Source organism: Homo sapiens, chromosome 19, assembly GCF_000001405.40.
Source record: "Homo sapiens chromosome 19, GRCh38.p14 Primary Assembly".
NCBI classification, from domain to species: Eukaryota; Metazoa; Chordata; class Mammalia; order Primates; family Hominidae; genus Homo; species Homo sapiens.
Window position 1 is genome coordinate 40,447,351 of NC_000019.10, and position 20,183 is coordinate 40,467,533.

At 51.2% G+C, this 20,183-nt stretch overlaps 2 protein-coding genes across 4 annotated transcripts in view, besides 2 other annotated features; one reads left to right on the forward strand and one right to left on the reverse strand.

The window, feature by feature from the left end:
• Positions 1–417: 417 nt before the first annotated feature.
• Positions 418–18,395, reverse strand: BLVRB (biliverdin reductase B). Its single transcript, NM_000713.3, has 5 exons — positions 18,260–18,395; positions 11,031–11,195; positions 10,805–10,894; positions 4,014–4,142; positions 418–696 (listed from the first exon to the last, which is right to left on the reverse strand). Exons 1-5 carry the CDS (start codon positions 18,336–18,338, stop codon positions 539–541), a joined length of 621 nt encoding a protein of 206 aa, NP_000704.1. The 5' UTR covers positions 18,339–18,395; the 3' UTR covers positions 418–538.
• Positions 17,469–17,588: an enhancer, noted in NCBI's record as "active region_14655". NCBI's record gives its function as "activates an Ori minimal core promoter by ATAC-STARR-seq in GM12878 lymphoblastoid cells {active_cell/tissue: GM12878}" and the evidence as "EXISTENCE:reporter gene assay evidence [ECO:0000049][PMID:35858748]".
• Positions 18,610–18,809: a silencer, noted in NCBI's record as "silent region_10630". NCBI's record gives its function as "represses an Ori minimal core promoter by ATAC-STARR-seq in GM12878 lymphoblastoid cells {active_cell/tissue: GM12878}" and the evidence as "EXISTENCE:reporter gene assay evidence [ECO:0000049][PMID:35858748]".
• SPTBN4 (spectrin beta, non-erythrocytic 4) overlaps positions 19,651–20,183 on the forward strand; it is a 109,464-nt gene continuing 108,931 nt past the window's right edge. For all 3 annotated transcript variants that reach the window (NM_020971.3, XM_017027051.2, XM_017027052.2), the window contains exon 1: positions 19,651–19,955. The gene's annotated coding sequence lies outside the window, so the exon portion shown is untranslated. The remainder of the gene's footprint in view (positions 19,956–20,183) is intronic.

Here is a 20,183-nt window from a genome sequence, read left to right on the forward strand (position 1 = left end):
CCAGACTCAATAAACTGTTACTGGGCGGGGCGCAGTGGCTCACGCCTGTAATCCCAGCACTTTGGGAGGCGAGGCAGGCGGATCATGAGGTCAGGAGATCAAGACCATCCTGGCTAACACGGTGAAACCCTGTCTCTACTAAAAATACAAAAAAATTAGCTGGGTGTGGTAGTGGGCGCCTGTAGTCCCAGCTACTGGGGAGGCTGAGGCAGGAGAATGGTGTGAACCTGGGAGGTGGAGCTTGCAGTGAGCCAGATTGCGCCACTGCACTCCAGCCTGGGCGACAGAGCAAGACTCGGTCTCAAAAAAATAAAAAAATAAAAATAAACTGTTACTGAACAAATGAATGAATGCATAACAAGCAAATCTTACACAGAGGCAGGCAGACACACCAAAATACTCAGACAGAGGCAGAGAGAGGAAGAGTCACACAGTCGGTTTCTCTAGAGTAATTTGAAGCTCTTGGCTCAACATTTATTGCCCCCTTCCTTTGCTCCTCATGTCCCAGAATGCCACCCTCCCAGATGGGGACAGAGTGCTACTGGTACTGGTGGGAGGGGTAGGTGCTGTGTCCGTCGTACTCATCGGTGGTGAGGCAGCGCAGCATGAAATGGCCCAGGTCATGTTTGGAGATGACCCTTGAGGGCCCTCGTCCATCCAGGGTCACTGTGTACGCCCCAGTTAGTGGCTGGTCTCCTATGAAGTAAAGACAAGAGGGGCTGGATAAAGCAGACACCTTTCCCTTCCCCCAAAATTCGACCCCCAGAAAGACCTTCCCAGGGTGCCTACTGTGTGTCCAGCCTGGGTGGTGTCACAGCCAAGAATGGACTTTCCATATGCAGGTGCTCATCTATATCCTTTGCTTCATTCATTCGATAAATCCTTATTGATTACCTATTGTGTGGCCAGGTGCTGGGCACCCAAGCAAGGGACAAAGCAGACAGGAATCCCCTGCCCTGGCCAGTGGCGGTGGCTCATGCCTGTAATCCTGGCACTTTGGGAGGCTGAGACAGGAGTATCACTCAAGCCCAGGAGTTTGAAACTATCCTGGGCAACACAGGGAGACCCTGAGTCCACTAAAAATACAAAAATCAGCCGGGTGCAGTGGCATGCCCCTGTAGTCCCAACTACTCAGGAGGCTGAGGCTGGAGAATTGCTTGAGCCAGGGAAGTTGAAGCTACAGTGAGCCATGATCGTGACACTGCACTCCAGCCGGGACGACAGAGCAAGACCTTGTCTCTAACAACAACAACAACAAATATATATATATATATATATATATATATATATATATTTGTCAGATAGATATATATCTGTCTATCTGACAGTAACCAACTAAACTTAGGGATACAATGTACCATCACCCAAACAGAGACAGGCTGGAATTATGCACAGTATGGAACACACACCCTTGGCTGTGTGTTTGCTTGGGACAAAGCAGACAGGAAGCTCCTGCCCTGGCTGGGCACAGTGGCTCACGCCTGTAATCTCAGCACTTCGGGAGGCCAAGGTGGGAGGATCACTTGAGCTCAGGAGTTTGAGACCAGCCAACATGGCAAAACCACATCTCTACAAAAAATGCAAAAATTCGCTGAGTGTGGTGGCTTATGCCTGTAGTCCCAGCTACTTGGGCAGGAGAATCACTTGAGCCCAGAAGGCGGAGGTTGCAGTGAGCCAAGATTGTGCCATTGCGCTCCAGCCTGGGCTACAGAGGGAGACCCTGTCTCAAAAAAAAAAAAGGAACACACACCTTCACCCATGTGGCATTCCTGCCCAACATGTTTAATCTGAATCTGTGACAAAACAGCTAGAAAAATCCAGAATGTGGGCCTTTAAAGTCACCTGGCCTGGTTAATGTTATGAGAAACTTAAAGAAAAAGGGCAGAGTGGGTTGAATTTTTTTTTTTCTTTTTTGGATAGAGTCTTGCTCTGTCACCCAGGCTGGAGTACAGTGGTGCAATCTTGGCTCACTGCAACCTCCACCTCCCAGGTTCAAGCAATTCTTGTGCCTCAGCCTCCCGAGTATCTGGGATTACAGGTGTCCGCCACCACACCTGGCTAATTTTTGTATTTTTAGTAGAGACGGGGTCTCACCACGTTGGCCAGGCTGGTTTTGAACTCCTGACCTCAAGAGATCCACCCGCCTCAGCCTCCCAAAGTGCTGGGATTACAGATGTGAGCCACCACGCTGGCCTGACAGTTGGGGAAATTTTACTACGGAGTGGATACTAAATGATATGACAGAGTAAATGTCACTTTCCTTAGGTGTGAGCATGTTTTGTGTGCAAATATCTTTCTTTTAGGAGATGGCTGTCTAGGTATTTAGGAGTTAAGTGCGACAATGTTGCAATTCCTCTCAAATGATTAAGCCAAATATACATATGCATATATGTTTTCACAATATATTCAGCAAAATCTAACTATATATTCATGGAGAGAGAGAGAGGAGGAGAGAGGGAGAGACAACAGGATAAAATGCTAAGCATTGAACCTAAACAAAGGGCTTATGTGTATTCATAAACCTTTAATGCTTTCAAATCGGGAGGTGTGGAAGTTTTCACACACTTGGCTGGGCGTGGTGGCTCACGCCTGTAATCCCAGCACTTTGGGAGGCCAAGGTGGGCAGATCACGAGGTCAAGAGATCGAGACCATCTTGGCCAATATGGTGAAACCCCGTCTCTACTAAAAATACAAAAATTAGCTGGGCGTGGTGGCACGCGCCTGTAGTCCCAGCTATTCGGGGGGCTGAGGCAGGAGAATCACTTGAACCCAGGAGGCAAAAGGTTGCAGTGAGCCAAGATCGCACCACTGTACTCCAGCCTGGCGGCAGAGCAAGACTCTGTCTCAAAAAAAAAAAAAAAAAAAAAAAAAAAGCCAGGCGCAGTGGCTCACGCCTGTAATCCCAGCACTTTGGGAGGCCGAGGCGGGCGGATCACAAGGTCAGGAGATTGAGACCATCCTGGCTAACACTGTGAAACCCCGTCTGTATTAAAAAATACAAAAAATTAGCCAGGTGTGGTGGCGGGCGCCTGTAGTCCCAGCTACTCGGGAGGCTGGGCAGGAGAATGGGGTTTCACCATGTTAGCCAGGATGGTCTCGATCTCCTGACCTTGTGATCTGCCCGCCTCGGCCTCTCAAAGTGCTGGGATTACAGGCGTGAGCCACCGCACCCGGCCATTAATATCTATCTTTTCTTGTCTTTTTCTTTTTTTTTTTAGACAGGGTCTCACTCTATTACCCAGGCTGGAGTACAGCAGCCTGGGCAACAGTTTATTGCAGCCTTGATCTCCTGGGCTCAAGCCATCCTCCCGCCTCCCAGTAGCTGGGACCACAGGTGTGTGCCACGACGCCCAGCTAATTTTTTTTTTTTTTTGTAGAGATAAGTCTATGTTGCCCAGGCTGGTCTCAAACTCCTGGGCTGAAGAAATCCTCCCGTCTTGGCTTCCCAAAGTGATGAGATTACAGGTGTGAACCACCATGCCTGGCCTATGTATCTATCTATCTATCTATCTATCTATCTATCTATCTATCTATCTATCTAATCTCTATCTCCCATACTAGAAATGTAAGCCATGGCGGGGCATGGTGATGCAGGCCTGTAATCCCAGCTACTCAGGAGGCTGAAGCCCCAGAATCCATAGACATAATGGATTAAACCATTAGCCAGTGGTAATCCCCTCAACCTTCAATCCCTCACCACTCCCCAGAGGTGAAAGTCCCAACCCTGTAATCCAGCCTTAGTCTTTCTGGTGACCAGACCTGAAGCTGCCTAGGGGCTGCCAGCTCTCAGTGAACTCATTAGCATAGAAAAAGACATTTACCATTTTGGAGATTCCAAGGATTTTAGGAGTTGTATGCCAGGAAACAGGGACAAAGGCCAAATATATATGTCACAATATCATAGGAAGGTTTGCAATTTTAGGGTGGTCAGGGAAGGCCTTGCAGATCTCCCCAGAGGGCAGGAGGGAACAGGCAGATGGCATTGGTGCCACCAGGTCCCTGCCCTGCTTACCTATGTGTGGCGGCATCACAGCCACGTACTTCAGGCCTGATTCCCGCAGCACCTTGTGCATCCGGATGTGGTCATCAGTCACAGCCTGCAGTCGTGGGGGCACCTTGGTAGGGTCCCAGAGCAGGAAAGCTGGAGGGAACACAGGGCAGGATCAGCCTGGGCTCTCTTGTCTTTTTTTTTTTTTTTTTGAGACAGAGTGTCGCTTTGTCACCCAGGCTGAGTGCAGTGGCGCAATCTCGGCTCACTGCAACCTCTGCCTCCCGGGTTCAAGCAATTCTCCTGCCTCAGCCTCCCCAGTAGCTGGGATTACAGGTGCACACCACCAGGCCTGACTAATTTTTGTATTTTTAGTACAGACAGGGTTTTGCCATGTTGGCCAGGCTGGTCTCAAACTCCTGACCTCAGGTGATCCACCCTCCTCCACCTCCCAAAGTGCTGGAATTACAGGCATGAGCCATTGTGCCCAGCCAAGGGCTCGCTTGTCTTGATGCCAGGACAAAACCCTGCCATGGCTGACCATTGCTTTCCAGTTGCAAAAACAGGGGAGTCCTCTGGGGCTCCTCTTTCCCTCACACCCCAGGTAAGAGCTGTCTGCTGATCACAATAATTCCAAATCTGACCTCTTCTCACTCCGCCTGGTCCTGTCCACTGTTACCTCTTGCCTGGACCAGCCCAGCAGCCTACTCCCTGGTCTCTCAGCCCCTCCTTCCCTCCTCCCAAGGAGCCCGTGAACACCCCTATCAGTTCACATCCATAGCTCCATCTCACTCAGGGTAGAAGCAAAGTCCCCATGGCCAGCCCTCAAGGCCCCACCTGATATGGCCCCATCAGCCCTCTGACGTCCTTGCCTACTCTGCCTACCACTCTCTCTTACACGCCTCTGCTCCAGCCAGGTTCTGCCTCCCAGCCTTGGCAATGTCTGATTCCTCTGCCCCTGATGCATTTCCCTCTCTTTTTTATTTTCTCTGAGACAGGGTCTCATTCTGTTGTCCAGGCTGGAGGACAGTGGCGTGAACACGGCTCACTGCAGCCTTGACTTTCTGGGCTGAAGTGATCCTCCTGCCTTAGCCTCCTGAGGAGCTGGGACCACAGGGGTGAGCCACCAAACCCCACTATTTTTTTTTTTTTTTGAGACAGAGTTTCCTTCCCTCTTGCCACCCAGGCTGCAGTGCAATGGCATGATACCGGCCAAGCCTGGCTAATTTAAAAAATTTTTTTAGGCCGGGTCTGGTGGCTAACCCCTGTAATCCCAGCACTTTGGGAGACTGAGGAGGCCAGATCGCCTGAGGTTAGGAGTTCGAGACCAGCCTGGCCAACATGGTGAAACCCCATCTCTAGTAAAAATACAAAAGTTAGCTGGGCATGGTGGTGCATGCCTGTAGTCCTAGCTACTCAGGAGGCTGAAGCTGGAGAATTGCTGGAACCCTTGAGGCGGAGGTTGCAGTGAGCTGAGATCGCGCCACGGCACTCCAGCTTGGGAGACAGAGCAAGACTCCATCTCAAAAACAAAGCAGAACAAAACAAAACAAAACAAAAAAAACACAAAAATTAGCCAGGTGTCGTGGTGCATGCCTGTAATCCCAGCTATTCTCAGGAAGCTGAGGCAGGAGAATCCCTTGAACCTGGGAGGCAGAGGTTGCAGTGAGCCGAGATCGTGCCATTGCACTCCAGCCTGGGTGACAGAGCAAGACTCCGTCTCAAAAGAAAAAGAAAAAAACATTTTTTTTGTAGCGATGGAGGTCTTACCAAGTTGCCCAGGCTAGTTTTGAACTCCCGGGCTTAAGCGATCCTTCCATCTCGACCTCCTAAAATGCTGCGATTACAGGTGTGACCCAGGACCCTTTGCCATTTCCCTCTCGTAGCCACATGGCTCCCTGTTTTCTTTGCAGACTTTGCTCAAAGGTCACCTTTCCATGCAGCTTTTCTTGACTGTCCTGTTTAAAATTGCAAAATCCTGTCTCCCCCAGCCCAGTTTACCAATCCCTTTTCTTGGGGCCTTGTTTTCTCCCTAGGACCCTTCCCCTGCCACCACACGCTAGAGTTATCCTGTGACTCTATCACATTTCCTGCTCCAATCCCAGCCCTTAGAAGCATCTGGAACATTGTAGGTACTTACTAAATATTTGTTCAGGAATTAGCTTTCAACAAGCTATAACTTGGCCAAGCTACACCAGCTGACATTTATAGAACTTTTACCTCAAGCCAAGAACTATGCTAAATATTTTTAGGAGCAGTTTGGTGAATAGTTAAAGAGCTTGGGTTTTGCCTAAAGTCAAGTACTGGATCGACCACTGGCCAGCTTCTTGTTTCCTCATGTGCAAACTGGGATGATATAAATTGTTCAAAGGCTGGGCAGAGTGGCTCACACCTGTAATCCCAGCACTTTGGGAGGCTGAGGTAGGAGGATCAGTTGAGCCCAGCAGTTCTAGACTCACCTGGGTACGATGGTGAGACCTGTCTCTACAGAAAATTAAAAAATTAGCCAGGCGTGGGGACCTGTGGTCTTAGCTGCTTAGAAGGCTGAGGCGAGAGGATCGCTTGAGCTCAGGAGTTCGAGGCTGCAGTGAGCTGTGATTGCACCGCTGCACTCCAGCCTGGACAACAGAGCAAGACCTTGTCTCAACAAAAAGAAATAAATAAATAGTTTGAGTAATGTTAGTGGTTATAAAAAGGTGTGTCACAGAGACCAGCCTGGGCAACAAAGCCAGACTCTGTCGCAACAAAAAAATTTTAAAAATTAGATGGGCATGGTGGCACATGCCTGTGGTCTCAGCTACTCAGGAGGATCCCTTGAGCCTAGGAGTTGGAGGCGGTAGCGAGCTATGATGACATCATTCTCACTGCAACCTCCACCTACAAGTTTCAAGTGATTCTCCTGCCTAAGCCTCCTGAGTAGCTGGGATTACAGGCGTGTGCCACCACACCTGGCTAGTTTTTGTATTTTTGGTAGAGACGGGGTTTCACCATGTTGGCCAGGCTGGTCTCGAACTCCTGACCTCAAGCGATCCACCTGCCTTAGCCTCCTAAAGTGCTGGGATTACAGCGTGAGCCACTGCGCCTGGTCTAGGATTTCCTCTTTACAGATGAGAAAACTGCGGTGCAGAGTGTGAAGTGGGTTTTTGTCTGCAGCCTCCAGTCTCCAGTTCACAATCTCAAATCCAGTCTCTAACTTACCCCTAGTTTCTTTTTTCTTTTTTTTTTTGAGGCAGTCTCGCTCTGTCACCCAGGCTGGAGTGCAGTGGCACGATCTCAGCTCACTGCAAGCTCCTCCTCCCGGGTTTACGCCATTCTCCTGCCTCAGCCTCCCGAGTAGCTGGGACTATAGGCACCCGCCGCCACGCCTGGCTAATTTTTTGTATTTTTAGTAGAGACGGTGTTTCACTGTGTTAGCCAGGATGGTCTCAATCTCCTGACCTCGTGATCCACCCACCTTGGCCTCCCAAAGTGCTGGGATTACAGGCGTGAGCCACAGCACCCGGCTGTTTTGTTGTGTTTTGAGACAGGGTCTTGCTCTGCAGCCAAGGCTGGAGTGCAGTGGTGCCATCACGGCTCACTGCAACCTCTGCCTTCTAGGCTCAAAGGATCCTCCTACCTAAGCTTCCCAAGTATTGGGGACCACAGGTGTGTACCACCACACCCAGCTAATTTTTTGTATTTTTTTTTTGTAGAGATGGAGTTTTGCTGTGTTGCCCAGACTGGTCCTGCACTCCTGGACGCAAGCAATCCGCCCACCTTGGCCTCTCAAAGTGCTAGGATTACAGGCGTGAGCCACTGTGCCTGGCCTTACTCTGGGTTTCTTTCTAATCCTCTCAGATGCCTCCATAAAAAACAATCCTCCCCAAGCCCTAATGGATAAACTCCAAGCTCCTTAGATGACAAAAATCTTTCTAATCTTTTACCTTGACATTTGAATATGGAGGGAAGATTAAACTCTAATAATTAGAGGCTGGAAGATAATTAAAGTGTGACAATAGCACTGTGGTGCTGGAAGAGAAAAGTCCTTTTTCTTGGGACTTGCCGAAGGTGTCTGTGGGTGTGCAACTCCATTTCAAATAGTTTAGGAAGTCTGGGCGCAGTGGCTCATGCCTGTAATCCAGCACTTTGGGAGGCCAGATCACTTGAGGTCAGACCAGCCTGCCCAATATGGTGAAACCCCATCTATACTAAAAATACACACACACAAAATTAACCAGATGTGGTGGCAGGCACCTGTAATCCCAGCTACTCAGGAGGCTGAGGCAGGAGAATCCCTTGAACCCAGGAGGTGGATGTTGCAGTGAGCCAAGATCACGCCACTGTATTCCGGCCTGGGTGACAGAATGAGACTCTGTCTCAAATAAAAACAAACAAACAAAAAACCCAAATAGTTTAGGAGAACAAAAACAAAATCTATTTGTGTATGTGTATGTGCATAGATAAACCAATTACAAAACACAATCACAATTTTAAAATCAGGAATATGGCTGTTGGCCAGGTGCAGTGGCTCAGGTGTAATCCCAGCACTTTGGGAGGCTGAGGCTGGTGGATCGCTTGAGTCCGGGAGTTCGGGACCAGCCTGGGCAACATGGCGAAACTCTATCTCTACCAAAAATACAAAAATTAGCCAGCCTTATAACCCGGTCTCAAAATAAATAAATAAATAGATAGATAGCTACAAACTTAAAAATAAAAAAAGAAAAGGAATATGGTTGTTCACACGACTATTAACTTTTCTGTTTAAAAATTTTTATAATAAAAAGTTAAAAAGTATATTGAGGACCTACACATTGAAGTAAGCAGCCATGATGTATGTAAGCTAACTTCAAATGGGTCAGAAAAAAAACATTGTGTGTCTGTGAACAGAGGACGGTAGGTGTACTGGTGTCCTTTCAATTTTTCTGTAAGTTTAAGATCATTTCCAGATAAAAAGTTAAGCTGGACTCAATGGCTCATACCTGTTGCCCCAGCTATTTGAGGGGCTAAAGTGAGGGGATTCCTTGAGCCCAGGGGTTCAAGGGTACAATGAGCTATGATCAGGCCACTGCACTCCAGCCTGGGTGACAGAGCGAGACCTTGTCTCTATGTTTGTTTTTTTTTTAATGAAAAAAAAAATCCTGGCACACCTAAGACTTTAATATTTAGAAAACAATCTAAACAAAAAAAAATGAGAAAAAAGAAAGCAAATTAAATCAATTTTACAGGTTTGTCTTTTTCATGGAAGCAAAACTTAACCAGTTAAATTGGTTTTTAAGACATGGGAGAGTCTGGACGTGGTGGCTTATACCTGTAATCTCAGCACTTTGGAAGGCTGAGGTGGGAGGACTGCTTGAGGCCAGGAGTTCAACATCAGCCTGGCCAACATGGCAAAACCTTGTCTCTACCAAAAATACAAAAATTAGCAGGGCATGGTGGCAGGCGCCGGTAATCCCAGCTACTCAGGAGGCTGGGGCAGGAGAATCACTGTGGGCCACGATCTTGGTCCCAGGCACCATGAACCCGGGAGGTGGAGTGGCGGTTGCAGTGAGCTGATACCACGCCACTGCACTCCAGCCTGGGCAATGGAGTCAGACTTCATCTCAAAGAAAAAAAGACATGGGAGAAAAAAACAAAACTAAAATTAACAGCAGACCATTCCAATCTGCGAACAAAAGTAAGACCTTGTCTCTACAAAAATATCAAAAAATTAGCCAGGTGTGGTGGTGCATGCCTGTAGTCCCAGCCGCTTGGGAGGCTGCAGTGGGGAGGATCACTTGAACCCAGACTGAGGCTGCAGTGAGCCATGGTTGCACCACTGCACTCCAGCCTGGGTGACAGAAAGTCTCAAAAAAAAAAAAAAAAAGTGAACCATTCTGAAATCGCAAGTTTACTCGTGTATTACTTTTCCATTTCAGAGCTTGAGGAAAAAAGCCATAAATGATTTTGCTTCCTACCCTCCAACTAGGTCTGGCCTCCAGGCCTCTTTGCTTGCTTTGTCCTCTGCCTGGAGTGTAATTACAATCATCAGGCAGCCCTCCCTCATGCCACTTCCCTTTCCAGGGAGGCAATTTGTGTCATGAAACACACTTGAGGTCAGGAGTTCGAGACTAGCCTGGCCAACATGGCGAAACCCTGTCTCTACTAAAAATACAAAAATTAGCTGGGCATGGTGGTGCACACCTGTAGTCCCAGCTACCTGGGAGGCAGAGGCAGGAGAATCACTTGAGGCAGGAGAACCACCTCCGGGAGGCGGAGGTTGCAGGGAGCCAAGATCACGCCACTGCACTCCAGCCTGGGCATCAGAGCAAGACTCTATCTCAAACAAACCTCAAAATAACTATAAATAAATAAATAAATAAATAAATGATTATACAGGGCAACTATTTGCTTAATGTCTGTGTCCCCATAATCGGGAGCTCTGTGAGGGCAGAGACCTAGTGTCTATCCACAGCTCTATCACTTCCTCTGGGAGGCCTACCCTGACCTCTCTCAGCCTAAGTCGGACGCCTCCTCTGGGCTCCCATAGTCCTGTAGTTTCTCCCATTGTGGCCCTATCCCCTCTGCCTGCCTCCCGATCCCAGCTCCGATGATCTGGATGTCAGTTTGATCATGGATCTGTTTACCACCTCTCTCTGTGAGCCTTGTGTGAGCAGGGCCCAGGGCTGTACAGGTCACCACTGTGTCCCCAGCATCACCCAGTAAGGTTCAGGCACACAGCTGGTGTTCAGTAAATGCACAGTAACATGGAATGGCTTCAGCGTCACCTTTCAGAGGCCCCTGGGCTGCCTCCCCAGTACCCCCCAGTTCAGCCCCACCTCCATGATCCCACCACCCACCCGAGGTGCAGGCCACGACCTTGTCCACACCATGAGCCTTCATGGCTGCCACAATGTTCCGGGCGCCCTCGGACATCACTGTCGTGGGACCTTAGAGGGGACAGAGAGTGGCTGTCACTGGTGGGCGGCGGCGGCGGCAGGGGTGGCAGGGGCGGGGCCGGGGGCGGGGGTGGCGCTGGGGGCCGAGGTGTAGGGGAGGGCCGTGGGCAGAGGGGGGGCTCAGTACTGAGGTCATTGCGGGTGCCCAGCAGCACGATGACAGCGTCCTGCCCAGCCACGGTCTTGTCCACATCGGCTGCCTGCAGAACATCTCCCACTACCACGTGGGCCGGCCGGGGCCCCTCTGATGGCAGCCTGGAGGAGTCCCGCACCAGCACTGTCACTTCGTAACCTGTGGGCAAAGAGGAGCAGAGAGCCTGGTCAGTGGGCTGGCACTCTTGGGCTCCAGGAGCTGGGTCCTAGAAGCCACCATGAACTCTCAAATCCATCCCCTCCTCTGTTCTGGGGAAGTGGTCTTCAAACATTTTTGGTTTTTTCTTTTTGTTTGTTTTGTTTTTGAGACAGGGTCTTGCTCACTTGCCCAGGCTGCTGTGCAATGGTGCAGTCACAGCTCACTGCAGCCTCAACCTCCGGGGTTCAACTGATCCTCCCATCTCAGCACCCCAAGTAGCTGGGACCACAGTGTGCACCACCACACCCAGCTAATTTTGCAATCTTTTGTAGAGAAGGGGTTTTGCCATGTTGCCCAGGCTGGTCTTGAACTCCTGGGCTCAGGTGATCTGCCTGCCTCAGCCTCCCCATGAGCCACTGCGCCGTGGCCTTCAAACATTTTTGCTGGCATACCTACAGTTGATGCTTAGTATTGGGCTGATTATTAAAATAGACCATACCTTGGCCAGGCATGGTGGCTCACGCCTGTAATCTCAACACTTTGGGAGGCTGAGGCGGGCAGATCACCTGAGGTCAGGAGTTTGAGACCAGCCTGGACAACATGATGAAACCCCATTGCCACTAAAAATACAAAATTAGCCAGGCATGGTGGCACATACCTGTAATCCCAAGTACTTGGGAAGCTGAGGCAAAAGAATCACTTGACCCGACAGGCGGAGGTTGCAGTGAGCAGAGATTGCACCAGTGCACTCCAGCCTGGATGACAAAGCGAGACTCTATCTCAAAAAAAAAAAAAAAAAAAAAAAAAAAAAAAAAAAAGACCATACCTTCATGATAATTCATAAATAATCTGAACTGAAGCCTCCAAGCACCACACCCTGTAAATTCCTTACCTTCTATTTATTATTATTATTATTTTTTGAGACGGAATCTCACTCTGTAACCCAGGCTAGAGTGCAGTGGCACAATCTCGGCTCACTGCAACCTCCGCCTCCCGGGTTCAGGCACGTGCCACCACACCTGGCTATCATTATTATTTTTTTTGAGATAGAGTCTCCCTCTGTTGCCCAGGCTGGAGCACAGTGGCATGATCTCAGCTCACTGCAACCTCCGCCTCCCAAGTTCAAGCGATTCTTTTGCCTCAGCCTCCCGAGTAGCTGGGACTACAGGCGCATGCCACCACATCCAACTAATTTTTGTGTTTCTAGTAGAGATAGGGTTTTACCATGTTGGCCAGGCTGGTCTTGAACTCCTAACCTCAGGTGATCCACCCACCTTGGCCTCCCAAAGTGCTAGGATTACAGGCGTAAGCCACTGTACCCAGCCAGCAACTTCCCTACCCTCTAACAACTAAAGGGTTAATGCAGGCATTGCACTGGTCTCTGTCTCCCATCCATGGTCCTGGAAGAAACTGAGGTTCTGAGGGGGACATGGGTTGCCTACAGACTGACCAGTGCTGGGATTGGTCCCAGCCCCTGCTGCCCAGCCTTACTGCTGGGAAGCCCAGCCCTCCTTTAGTGGTCATTAAAGATTTTTAATATTGTCTTAGTATGTTCCTTCCCAAAATAATTTTGGATAATTTTGTTTCTCTTCAACACACACACACATACACACACATTTTAAAGTTCACAACTAACATATTTCTTCCTTTGTTTTAAACATTGGCAAAGGATGTTAACATTTGGGTATACTGTAATAGCAACATATATATATATATATATATATATATATTTAGAGACAGGGTCTTGCTCTGTTGCCCAGGCTGGAGTGCAGGGGCGCCAATCATAGCTCACTGTAACCTCAAATTCCTGGGCTGATGCCTATTATAATCCCAGTGCTTTGGGAGGCCAAGACAGGAAGATTGTTTGAGGCCAGGAGTTTGAGACCAGACTGGGCAACATAGTGAAACCCCGTCTCTGCAAAAAAAATAAAAAAAATCTAGCCAGGTGTGCTGGCGCAACCTGTAGTCTCAGCTACTCAGGTGGCTGAGGCTGTAGTGAGCTATGATTGTACCACTGCACTCCAGCCTGGGCTACAGAACAAGACTCTGTCTCAAAAATAAATAAATAAATTAAATTAAATTAAATTAAATTAAATTAACAAAAAGTTTAGGCTACTACCTGGCACAGAAATAAGAGTTACCTGGTGCTGGGCGCGATGGCTCACGCCTGTAATCCCAGCACTTTGGGAGGCCAAGGCAGGTGGATCACCTGAAGTTGGAAGTCCAAGACCAGCCTGACCAACACAGGGAAACCCCGCCTCTACTAAAAATACAAAATTAGCCAGGCATGGTGGTGCATGCCTGTAATCCCAGCTACTTGGGAGGCTGAGGCAGAAGAATCGCTTGAACCCAGGAGGTAGAGATTGCAGTCAGCTGAGATTGTGCCATTGCACGCCAGCCTGGGCAACAAGAGCGAAACTCCGTCTCAAACAAAACAAAACAAAACAAAACAAACAACAACAACAACAATAAACATAAAAAACCAAAAAACCCAAAAAGACACAATAAAAAAATTAAAAAAAGAGATGGGGTTTTGCATGTTGGCCAGGCTGGTCTCGAACTCCTGGACTCAAGTAATCTGCCTGGCATGGCCTCCCAAAGTGCTGGGATTACAGGCATGAGCTACCGAGCGTGGCCTATTACACCTTGTAACCATTTTGCAACTTTATCTCCTGGCCTGATCCAGGCCTACGTCTCCTTCCTGGTCCCTTTCCTGGGTCCTCCCTGGGCTCCTGGACCCAGTCCTGCCCTCTCCAATCCATATTCCACACAGCAGCCAGACAGAGTTCTCCACAGTAATATTTAAGTGCCTCTCTGCTCAGTTGCCTCCCGCAAGCCTGAAATGCCCTGTGATAAAACCCATGCTCCTCATGCCAGCCTTCCAGGCCCCTCGGGATCTGGCTTCTCCTCTCCAGGCTCTGCTGAAGCCTCTGCCCTCTTCACCCACAGCACATTTTTTTTTTTTTTTTTCTGAGACGGAGTCTCGCTCTGTTGCCCAGTCTGGAGTGCAGTGGTGCAGTCTCGGCTCACTGCAACCTCCGTCTCATGGGTTCAAGCGATTCTCCTGCCTCAGCCTCCTGAGTAGCTGTGATTACAGGCGCCTGCCACCATGCCTGGCTAATTTTTTTGTATTTTTAGTAGAGATGGGGTTTCACGATGTTAGCCAGGCTGGTCTCGAACTCCTGACTGTGTGATCCACCTGCCTCAGCCCCCCAAAGTGTTGGGATTACAGGCATGAGCCACTGCACCCGGCCCCAACTGCTCTTCTTTCAGTTCCTCAAATGCATGGTGCTGCTTCCTGCCTCCTGGACTTTGCACGTGCTGTGCCCTCTGCCTGGAACACCCTTTACCCTCTTTACCCGGTCCCCCCAGTAACTTGTACTTCCTCTGTCACAGCCCTCTTTATGCTGACCTGCAGCAAACCAAGCACCCTGTGGGTCCAGGGACTGTGTCATGTTTTCTGCCATCTCCCTGAACCTTTGTAAACACAAAAGCACAGGCATTACTGCCCCAGGGACCTTGATCCAAACTCCAGCTCTGCCACTTACCAGCTGAGGAACCTCATGCAACCTCTTCCGTGATTGGACCTCAGCTTCCTCATCTCTGAAGTGAGGATCACAGCACCAGCCTCCCCGTGCTATGTGACCACCTTTCATAGGGGAATGACACAAGATCTGTGCTGCCCTCACACATGGGGGAGCAGCAGGGGCTTGCATGGGCCAATATGGGCATTCTTTTTTTTTTTTTTTTTGAGATGAAGTCTCACTCTCTTGCCCAGGCTGGAGTGCAGTGGCGCAATCTCAGCTCACTGCAACCTCCGCCTCCCAGGTTCAAGCGATTCTCCCACCTCAGCCTCCAGAGTAGCTGGGATTATAGGTGTGCACCACAACACCCGGCGAATTTTTTGTATTTTTAGTAGAGATGGGGTTTCACGGTGTTAGCCAGGGTGGTCTCGATCTCCTGACCTTGTGATCCGCCCACCTTGGCCTCCCAAAGTGCTGGGATTACAGGCGTGAGCCATGGTGCCTGGCCTCTTTTTAAGCTTTTTGAAAATCTCAGCCATTGGCCGGGCGTGGTGGCTCACGCCTGTAATCCCAGCACTTTGGGAGGCTGAGGCGGGCGGATCATGAGGTCAGGAGATGGAGACCATCCTGGTTAACATGGTGAAACCCCATCTTTACTAAAAATACAAAAAAAATTAGCTGGGCATGGTGGCAGGCGCCTGTAGTCCCAGCTACTTGGGAGGCTGAAGCAGGAGAATGGCTGAACTCGGGAGGCGGAGCTTGCAGTGAGCTAAGATTGTGCCACTGCACTCCAGCCTGGGCGGCAGAGTGAGACTCTTGTCTCAAAAAAAAAAAAAAAAAAAAAAAAAAATCAGCCATCAATACAAAAAATTTCATTGCCTAACCTGGTGTACACAAACGCATACATATATAATTAAAATGAGTTTCACAAAACTAATACTTAACATGTGATACATTTTGATACTATGTCATCATTTGTTACCCTATATTGTTGATACACGTTGTGACCATATGTTTCAGATCTCATTGTAACTCACAGTTTGAGAAGCATCAGGTTGCAACAACCCTGCAAGGTAGGTATCATTATCCTGTCCACATTGATGGGGAAACTGAGGCAATTTTAGGCAACCGGGCCAGGATCACACAGCTAGTAGGTAGAGAAGGTTGAATTTTTACCTAAGTAAGTCTGATCCAGAGACTGCAAAATTCAATGCTAGTCTAAGTACCTCCTATATAAGATCTCATTTAATTATCCCAAGAGCCCTAGGGCAAGTACTACCAGTTTTGTCATGATCTTACACATATCTAGGTACACAGATGACAAGGCATTTGGTCACAAAGGCTGTAAGCCGCAGAGCTGGTGACTTGAATGTGGGCAGGCTGGCACCAGAGTTCATGCCTGTTAAGACTCTTGGCCCTACAGAACCATTGTGAACTCCAGTTAATCCAAGCCCCTTCTCCCTCCCTCCCTCCCTCCCTCCCTCCTTCCCTCCCTTCTTTCCTTCCCTCCCTCCCTCCCTCCATCCCTCCCTCCTTTTCTTCCTTCCTTCTTTCCTTTCATCTTGCTGTGTCACCCAGGCTGGAGTGCAGTGGTGCAGTGATGCAATCTTAGCTCACTGCAACCTCCCAGGTTCAAGCGATTCTTGTGCCTCAGCCTCCCAAGTACCTGGAATTACAGGCACGTACCACTGTGCCCAGCTAATTTTTTTTTTTTTGAGACAGAGTTTCACTCTTGTCGCCCAGGCTGGAATGCAGTGGCGTAATCTCGGCTCACCACAACCTCTGCCTCCCGGATTCAAGCTATTCTCCTGCCTCAGTCTGCCAAGTAACTGCGATTACAGGCACCAGCCACCATGCCCGGCTAATTTTTCGTATTTTTAGTAGAGACGGGGTTTCACTATATTGGCCAGGCTGGTCTCGAACTCCTGACCTCGTGATCCACCTGCCTCAGCCTCCCAAAGTGCTGAGATTACAGGCGTGAGCCACCGCACCCAGCCTCTTTTTCTTTCTTTTTATGTATTTTTTTAAATTTGAGAGACAGGGTCTCACCCTGTCACCCAGGCTGGAGTGCAGTGGTGCAAACACAGCTCACTGTAGCCTTGAACTCCTGAGCTCAAGCAATCCTCCCACCTGAGCCTTCTGAGTAGCTGGGACTACAGGCATGCATCACCACGCCCAGCTAATTTATTTTTTTTTTGTATTTTTGTAGAGATGGGGTCTTGCTACGTTGCCCAGGCTAGTCTCAAACTCCTGGCCTCAAGCCATCCTCCCGCCTTGGCCTCCCAAAGTGCTGGGATTATAGGCATGATCCACCGTGCCTGGCCAGCCCTTCCCTTTGCTGAGGGGGACAGCAAAGCTGAGAGCTGGGAAGAGATTTTTCAGAGCCACAGCTCTGAAGCTCCCTAGGCTCCAGTTCTTAACCCTCTGAGTGCAGTCCCAGCTATGACCAGCAGGGTGGGCGAGTGGAATTCGGTGGAATTAGTGGATTTCCAGGTGACTCAGCGCCTCTCAACTTCTCTCTCTTACTTCCTTCTCCATTACTCCCGAATAAATGCTTATCAGCAAACTGGTTTTTACTGAGAGGCCCACAGCTCCCCATTCTCCACAAGTCAAGATCCTCACGTGGTCTCCCTGGGGAAGGGGAGAGTTATGGACCTAGAGAAGAACTTTCAGAGTCCCTCCAAGGGAGACAGCAGAGTGGGGTCCTGTTGGCCTCCACCCTTTTGGGGCACGCAGATAGTCAATATCTTCAGCGTCCCCAAGGCCTGCAAGGGTGGGGCCCCATATCTGGAAGTCCCAGGCCCAGCTGGGAGTTGGTCAAGTCTGGGCTGTGGGGGCAGGGAGTGCTGGGGGATGGTTATCCCCTTTTCTGCCCTCTCTCCTGGGGCAACTCCAAATTTTCAGCCCTCATTGACTTTCCCAGGACTGCTGTCCCCAAGTCTTCACTCATGTCTCTCTGTGACTCCTTCCCATTAGGTACTCGCAGCAACCTGACCCCCCAACTTTTTCAGTTTCCAGCCTGGGGACTTGTGGTGGTTAAGAGCATGAGCTGAGTTCAAATCCCAGTCCTGTCAGTTAACAGCTGTGTGATATTGGGCAAGTCACTCTCTGGGTCTCAGTTTTCTCATCTGTCAAGTAGGGTGATACTAGTTCCCACCCCATTTTGAAAGCTCTCATGTGAAGAGACGACAGAGCAAGCTTGGCTTAGTAAATCCTCTCTGGGAGTGCGAACAACCACCACCACAACCACAATAATGACAACCGCATTGCATAAGAGCCCTGGACTTACACACGACTGTGCCAGTGGAGTCCTCCCGGGGCTCCCGGGGCCAATTCCTCTCTGGCTTGGACTCACATAAACTTGGATCTCACATCTTTCCCCATTTCTGCCCCCGTGGCCACTTGCTTTGGCCCCTGAGTCCTCATACACCTGGCTGGGGCGCTCATGGCCCCAATCAGCCTCGGCCCGACCCCATGGTGCCCCTTCCTAAAGTTCTGCCCGTCTGTCCCGTGACATGCCCCGCCCGCCCCGGCTCATGCCTGCTTGCACCGCCTGCGCCAGGGTGGTGAGCCCGGTCTGGCCAGTGGCGCCGAAGATCGCGATCTTCTTGACGGCCATCGTACGGGATCGTGGGGGTGCAAGGCCTCAGAGTCTCGGCACGCGCGGGAACCCACTGGCTGCTGGGCGGTGCTCTCTGCCCTACTCAAGCCAGGAACAACGGGGCGGAGCTGGCTCGAAGGGCCACGCCTCAGACTCTCCGCCCGCGGCTCAGGTCAAGGGGCGGGGCCTAACGCGGATGGGCGGGGCAGGCGTCAGCTTGCATTCGCTCACCGTCCAGCACCGCCCTCTCTGCGCGCCACTTAGACTGGAAGGCGGGGCCACAGAAGGCCACGCCTCCACATAGCAACAAATAGAGTGGACGGAGCCGAGATAACTTGTCACTCAGCGCCCTGCCTCCGCGCTCCACCTCCCGGAGAGGGGCGGGGCCAGGCGAGCCTCACCCACGGCCTCTCGTAGCTCACGCCCCCTCTCCCGGAGCCTGGAGCGGATCTGGGGCGCACTCTAAGCCCCAGGGCCTCCCAGAACCAGCAAGGGGAGAAAGTTAGGAGGACAGAGTGTGTGTGTGCACTTGGATGTAAGACACTGTGTCACGGCGTACCTATGCACTTATATGACCCTGTGTGACTCAGTGACCCGGAGGGCAAGCAGGACTGTGGGTGACACCTTGTGTCATCCTCTGAGTGTGATCCCGTGTTACAGTGTGACTACACGTGCGTGACACCACGTGTGGCAGGCATTGATTCTGTTCTTTTGTGACCTTGTGGTGACACCGTGGGTGACACTGCGTCAGCCTGTACGATAGGGTGTGGGACGTGTGAGGTGTGCTACATGGAAGCGTGAGACTAATTAGACTGTGACAGTGTGTGACACCACATGTCTCGTGTAAGGATGTGTGACACCGGGACCCCATTCGAGTGTGTGGCTGTGGGTGTCTGTGTTGAGCTGCTCATTGTGACCCCCTGTGACTATGATGTGTGAGGTGCGGCGGTGCAGCATGTGCGGGGCGACTGCTATGAAGGTTCGAGTGTGTAGAGTGTGTGACACTGTGGCTGTGAAGCTGTGCGTGATGTGTGGGCCTATGACACTGTTTGTGACTGCCGGGGAGTGTGCGGCTGTGTGTGACAGGTGCATTTGTGTGTGACGCCGCGTGGGCGGTGGTTACCCTATTGGATTTGTGTGGTGGTGGGTGACACCGTTCCAGTGTGGACGCCGCGTGTGACGGCGTGAGGGTGTGACCCCGTGAGACCCCACAGGAGGGAGTGACGGCGCGCAAGCGCGTGGATGCGGGGGTGAGTTTGTGCGCCGAGGCCCCCGCGAGTATGGCAGCGTGGCGAGCGTGACCCCGTGGGAGTGTGCAGCGCGTGACGCCGCCGTGCCCTCGCGAGTGCAGCCGTGCACCCCACGCCGCGGCCGGGTGTGACTGCGCGTGGGCCTCGGGCGGCGGGGCGCGGGGACCGCGGGCGGGAGGGGGTCCCGGGGGCGCGCTGAGCGCGGCGGCGGCGCGAGAGAGGGAGGCGCGGCGGCGCATGCGGATCTGGCTGAGCCGCGGGCCGGCGGGGCCGAGCTGAGCCGGGCTGGGCCGGGCCGGGCCGGGCCGGGCAGCGGACGCCGACAGGGAGGGCGGTCGGTCGCGGCGAGCAGCGGAGACAGCGACGCTGGCGGCCGCGGGCCCAGGTGAGCTGCTAGGGGGGCCGACAGCCCCTCCCCCAAGTATGTCCCCACCTGGCGAGCATCCCTCCTCCGCGCGCACGGGGCATGGCTGGAGCCCCGGGTCTCCCCGGCTGGAGGGAGGCAAAGGGTCGAGGGCAGGACGAGCCCACAACCCCCCCACCCGGTCTAGCTTCCGCGCCACGCGTGGGTCTTACCCCCAGGCCTTGTCCTTCCCAGGCCCCCTCCTTGGGC

What these genes read in the sequence shown, in the direction of transcription:
- BLVRB (NM_000713.3), bottom strand. Translation starts at nt 18,338, where the DNA reads ATGGCCGTCAAGAAGATCGCGATCTTCGGCGCCACTGGCCAGACCGGG. An exon ending in GGCGCAGGCGGTGCAAGCAG is followed by an intron (nt 11,196 to 18,259) that starts GCATGAGCCGGG and finishes CTTTGCCCACAG; the next exon opens with GTTACGAAGTGACAGTGCTG. An exon ending in GGTCGTGGCCTGCACCTCGG is followed by an intron (nt 4,143 to 10,804) that starts GTGGGTGGTGGG and finishes TGTTCCCTCCAG; the next exon opens with CTTTCCTGCTCTGGGACCCT.